The sequence below is a fragment of the Homo sapiens genome, chromosome 6, assembly GCF_000001405.40.
Source record: "Homo sapiens chromosome 6, GRCh38.p14 Primary Assembly".
Taxonomy (NCBI): Eukaryota; Metazoa; Chordata; class Mammalia; order Primates; family Hominidae; genus Homo; species Homo sapiens.
In genome coordinates, this window is record NC_000006.12 from 75,208,728 (window position 1) to 75,214,946 (window position 6,219).

Here is a 6,219-nt window from a genome sequence, read left to right on the forward strand (position 1 = left end):
CACTCATTCCCCGGGGACACGAGTGTAATTCAAATGTGTACAAAGAGGCAATCCGGGGACCTCCCAGCATGACGTTGGCATTTTGGTCCCCTGGGGCCTTTACGCTAGACTCCTAGTGTGATAAACGGTAAAGAACGGGTAACCCTCTTCCATCCTTCCCCTTTCAATGGTGCATCCAGTTCCTAATACCCTTTGGAATCCGTTGGTGATATTTATTGACTGGGGAAGAGCCAGTTGGATTTATTCCGTTTGGTAGCTCCCTGTGGCTTTTAGTCCTCAGGCGATATCACGGGCTCTGCCTCCTTCGCGCTTCCTCTGTTCAGCTCCCACCTCTTCACCCTCTGAGTCCTGGGCTCCCGGCGGTTCCGAGCCCTCAGATTTCTTGTCCGACAGCGCTATCTAGTGGTCAGCGCTAACCCGGCGTCAGAGGTTAAAGTTAACAGAGAACGTAGAGCTGGGAAGTTGTTGACAAGTTTACAAGTCTTGGGGTGAGTTTTTAAAAAAAAGTCTCATTCATGTATTTGATTCTCAGGGCTGAGAGGCGGCAGGGTGGGAGAACGAGTGAGGAGAAGGGCATCAACTTTCTTCATGCCGTTTAATTAGCTGCTTACAGAAATTCCTGCCCCAAGGCTTCTAGGCTCTCCTCAAGTTTCTTCAAAGAAAGGGTGAGTTTACAAGGGAAGAGATATTGATTTCAGGAAGAAGTTAATATTACAGAGTGCCCTTAACTTCTGTAATCTTAACTTCTTCAAAGGCAATGGGGGCCTCTTCACTGATTTGTTTGAGGTCAATTTAGCCGGCATTCCTGGCAACAGGTGAGACAGTTTCTAGAACACTTCCGTTGCAGGTTCTGGCTGATTTGTGCAGAAGGAAGGGGAAACCTCGTCTGAACGTGCAGCATTTGCCTATCTCTTAAGGCTGGCCCCAGTGTGAACTGTGAGGGTCTTGAGTGAAGAAAGCTCTCACAAGCCCCTTGGAATAAAAGGGTGAGGAGAGGAGGTAGTGCACCACCTGCTCTGATTCTCAGAAGCGGAGAGACAACCTGACCAGCAAGAGTCAAAAACTGTGTGTCTGAATCCTCTTCTTTCCATCCCTGTGTGCAACTCAAGTCAACATACATTTAATGAGCACCGTCTATTTACAGTGCCAAGCTCAGAGTAGCTGATATGAAGATAAGTAAGACAAGGCCTTGCCCTCAAAATTCTGTCAAGTAACAGCTGGGACACCTGAAGCAACTTCATGTGTGTGGCCTATTTAAATCTCCCAAGGTCGTGCACTCAGCATGTTGTAACATTAAAAATGAGACGCCTTAGACAACCACCCTCTCTGCACTAGCAAAGCTTAGGAATCCTGAGACCAAACCACCCTGAAAGGAAGGAAGGGGACGTGCTGCATTCTTGCCTCTTTGACAAGTTCTGCTTCTTTACAAAGGACTTTGCAAGTACTTCACCCAGACCATCTCACCTGTACCGAAATAACCTCCCCTACTAGCGAATGAGCAACTTTGGAGCAGAAAGCAGAAACTGCATCATATTTCTCTTACTATGCAAACTGGTAGCTCAAACCTCATATGACCTCAAAAAACTATAATTGCTTCAACCTAAAAAAGCTGATTGTAAAAAAAAAAAAAAGCTGTGGTTGCACACACGTGTTCAAAAAACACGGTATCCACATAAAATAACGTCTCAGGATAAATCATTCAGATTTAATAAAAGTCAAGTACTACTGGGAGTTGATTTTCCAGTTAGCTCTGACCTCCTTGAGCAAAAAGTAGAAGATAAAAGGAAATGAATTAACTTAAGAGCTAAGAAAACAAACCGCTGCCACTTCTTCCTTTGTTTCCATAAAATTCAGTACTTTTAAATCACACCACCACAGGCATCTTGCAATCTATTTGCTTTGGAACCATCAAAGTAGCATAAGGTGGAGAATTTCTAGTCAGGCCACTGTTCTGTGTGTCAGCAGTCATATATGTATACTTAAATACACTTTCAGATTGATGGAAAATGTGAAGAATCACGGGAATCTATTTTTCAAGATTTGGTCTTGGCTTTTAAACTAATTACCTAGTAGATTGAAATGCGGTAATAATGAAATCATAGTCAAAAGACGTTTCATTGCTCTCAGTAGGAGCTCCTGTGTAGGGTGACATGTAACCTGACCAGGTCTCCATTTGATAACTCGTTTTTGTTTTGTTTTGTTTTGTTTTTCTGACACAGAGTCTGGCTCTGTTGCTCAGCCTGGAGTGCAGTGGCGTGATCTTGTCTCACTGCAACCTCTGCCTCCCAGGTTCAAGCGATGCTCATGCCTCATCCTCCTGAGCATCTGGGATTACAGGTGCATGCCATCATGCCTGGCTAATTTTTTTATTTTTAGTAGGGAGGGGGTTTCACCATGTTTGGTCTCAAACTCCTGACCTCAAGTGATCCTACTGCCTCGGCCTCCAAAGTGCTGGGATTACAAGCGTGAGCCACTGCACCCAGCCTGATAACTCATTTATATATATTTACTAATTCATTCAGCTACATGTATAGAATACTGACATCGGTATATTTAAAGCAGACAAGAACCCAGATTTTGAAATGCTCCTAAATCTAATGTGATTGCGCCCTCTGGTGGAGAAGAGCAAAAGGATGTTATCTGATTAGACTCACTGAATCATTTTTATCCAGAATACTCGTTCTGCAAATGCTGTTACTCTAGTCATAATGTTAACTAGGAATTGTAGGAGTTTTTTTTGTAAAGGCAAACCAAAAGAAGTCCTGCCCATAAGAAACTTAAATATAGTAATAAGACCAGAAATAAACATACGTGGAAGCCAAATATGACTCAAGAGAAGTTTGGAGACAGAGTGTAATTGAAAGCTGAAAGATCAATGTGAAAAATGATTTGAGGAAAAATAGATGTATATAGGAACAAGATAAATGACATCACAGGAAGCAATCAATTCAACCCAGAACGTGCAAAATTCCAAGGGATAATCTACAAGATTTATCCTGAACCAGTTCCTCCACAAATCAATGACAAGAAAAAGGAAGAGAAAAAAAAATAGATTGTTATGAAAAAAATAGGAGCTATAACAACCAAATAATAATAATCGTTATCAATAAGTATGAAGGATCTGAGATTTTATCCTACTTCCAAGCTAACAAGTTAACCTGTTGTAGTTTCATGGGTGCTGACCGAACACACAAGGAATCAAAAACAAAGGACTGTATTGCTCACAATAATAGCAGCCAGTAGCCAGGGTCATCATTCACACCAGTTTCTCAAGCCCCAGTTCCAACAGGGCGATACAAGAAGAGACAGGTGACCCTTGCACATGCAGTGGGTTGCATTATAGGAATGGAATCTGAGCTTGGGATCTTTTATGAGGGCAATAAGGCTGCCTGGCTTTTGCCCTGGAGAGACACGTTGTTTTTGTTACACTGGACAGTAAACAAACTTGCCCTTCACTCTGGAGACAGAAATGATCACTGTCTTCCAAAGCTGTTAGTATGCAAACACCCTTGAAGAGATCATCTACAGTACTGGCAGTCAGAGCCTCTGCCAACAGACATGCAGAAACGTGAGAGACTTGTGGAGAAATATCTCCCAACAATAAGAATTGTTAAAAGTCTGTGGGAGGGAGAAAGCACTATATGTTGAAGTGGTCCCTGAGGAATTTCTAGAGAAGGAAGACTTTAAAGGACTAGGAGTGAGCATTCTAAGCACAAAGTTCAAAATGAGAACTTGAAAAAATAGCAAAGAGCAGGAAATGTGTTGGGCAATAAATAAAGTAGAGTGGTTTTAGCAGAATGTTTTTGAATAAAACTGGAATAGTAATGGGGCTTAAAAGTGGCTGAGAGCCTGGACTTTATTCCTCTAAATATAGAAATAACTACACTTTACAGAGTACCCACTGTATTTCAGATACTACATAAGGCATTTTGTATTTGTCAGTCCATGAAATTTAATTTTTATCTCTGTACTACAGATAAAGAATTTCATGAGGCAAGTCCAATCTGGCAACAGGGCTCAGGGTAACTTGCTGGGAAGACAACCTGCAAGCAAGGAGACTGGGGTAGGGGGTACCAGAATCCAAGGAAGAGACACTGAGAGTCTCTGTATGGTGCTCACAGCAGCAGCATGCAAAGAGAAAGATGGCTGGCTTTAGGAAGTAAAAACGAGACAATATCTTAAGATGATGGAGCAAAGCCAGGTGACTGAATGAATGATGATGGTGCCAAGGGGAAAATTAGAGAAGTGAGGCAGGTGAGCCAGTTGTAAGGGGACATGACAAAATGGCTTTAGACGTGCCTTATATATGATCAAAATCCTTGGATTTTTTTCCTAGTAAAGTTTATTGGACACTCTCTGCTATATTAATACAATTTGAATAGTGTCTCAGGTTCAAATACAGATTTTTTTAGAGTGATATACTCTTTTTTTTTTCAGGAAATTGCAAACCACGAAAAACTACTAAAAAGACATATTTGCACTCTATGCAACAGGCAGAGTTATTCAAAGGGAAAACAATGGCATTGTTATTTCTTGGCTCTCCAGCAAGCTTGTTCATGGGTGGCTGAATGCATAACACTGCATGTGATACAAAAAGCATCTGGGAAATGCTTAAACAATTATCTCCAGCCTCCCTCTATCTGCTTCTCAAGTGTTAGACTCATCAAGACTGTGGGACATAAAGTCCTCACTCATTGTTTAAACTGAGAAAATTATTTCAAACTCTCACACAAGGTCTACTTTAAAAAAAAAAAGTAGTTTGTAGTTTTACTTATTGAATAGCTTATTTTCTTATATTTTTGTTTCTTTCTTGATAGTAATAGCTTTAAAATGAAACCACTAATTGCCCCCAAAATACAAGTTCCTGATCTCTGATGTTAGGAACACATAAGGCCATGTTCACATCAAGAAAGTAGAGTTAGAAAGCCAAGTATTGAGGATTGAGTTTGTTTTAACTAACACACTTTTTTGAAATGAAGTCTTGTGCCTTTATGATTTTTATTACTACTGATGAAAATGAAGTTGAAGTGATTCATCTTGTACTTTCTAGCGGTGGCTAATACTCATTCAGATTTTTACCCTGGAACTAAAGTGAGGGTCTCAACAGACAAATAATGGGTTTTTCCCCATATGGCTGTTGTGTGGGCCCTGCAGTGCCTCAATAATACTCCTTCCACTTTTGGTTCACCCACATGTGAGGCCACCATGTGGCTTGGGGTGGTGCTGACAGGTCTCAAGCCAGACTGCACGAACAAAAATCACTAGGCTAGACTGAGAACATCTGAACTAATGTCTAAGGGCCAGCCTCAGACAATTAAATCTAACTCTCAGGGTGGGGCCTGGGCATCTGTATATTTTTTAAGTTGGCTGGGTAATCCTGATGCTCAGTGAGGGTTGACACACATTAGTCTAAGCCTTGTCACCCAGAAGAGCCAGAGGAGTCATCTATTAATAGAACTGGCAGATAAGAAGGACTAATCAATCACTTGTAGGACATACAGGTCCCCAGATCAATGGTTCAAGTGAGTGTTTATGGGTTTAGCCTGGCCAATAGTAGTTAGGAAAATTATTCTGAGGAAACTTGTAAACTGAGAGGAAAAGTTGACAGGCCAGGGTCATAAAGCCAGTGTGAAACTCAGGCCTGTCTGCTTCCCAAACCTCCACCCTCCCCACTTCCATGTTACACCTGGGAGGAATCTAGTTCATTGTTGTCATTGACTTTAAGGTTTATTTATTTATTTGAGATGGAGGCTGGCTCTGTCGCCCAGGCTGGAGTACCGTACTGCGATCTCAGCTCACTGCAACCTCTGCCTCCCAGGTTCAAACGATTCTCCTGCCTCAGCCTCCCAAGTAGCTGGAACTACAGGCACGCACCACCATGCCTGGCTAGTTTTTGTATTTTTAGTAGAGACAGGGTTTCGCCACGTTGACCAGGCTGGTCTCGAACTCCTGACCTCAAGTGATCCGCCCACCTCAGCCTCCCAAAGTGCTGGGATTACAGGCGTGAGCCACCACACCTGGCCTGACTTTAAAGTTTAAATCAGACAGAAACATGGATACAGTTTCATTTCCCAAAGGACACTCAAGATGCTATTTATTTCCTTTTCTTACTAACATTGATGCTAAAATATATATCCAAAGATGAGAACATTTTGCTTTATTTCTTCTCAGGAAATACAGGTAATATTTTCTCACTGTATTTATACTCAACAGATTAGT

The 6,219-nt window shown here is 41.7% G+C and overlaps 1 annotated feature.

Moving 5' to 3' along the window:
• Positions 295-500: a silencer, noted in NCBI's record as "fragment chr6:75918738-75918943 (GRCh37/hg19 assembly coordinates)". NCBI's record gives its function as "represses an EF-1alpha promoter that drives an FKBP-Casp9 reporter gene in an ReSE screen in K562 erythroleukemia cells {active_cell/tissue: K562}" and the evidence as "EXISTENCE:reporter gene assay evidence [ECO:0000049][PMID:32094911]".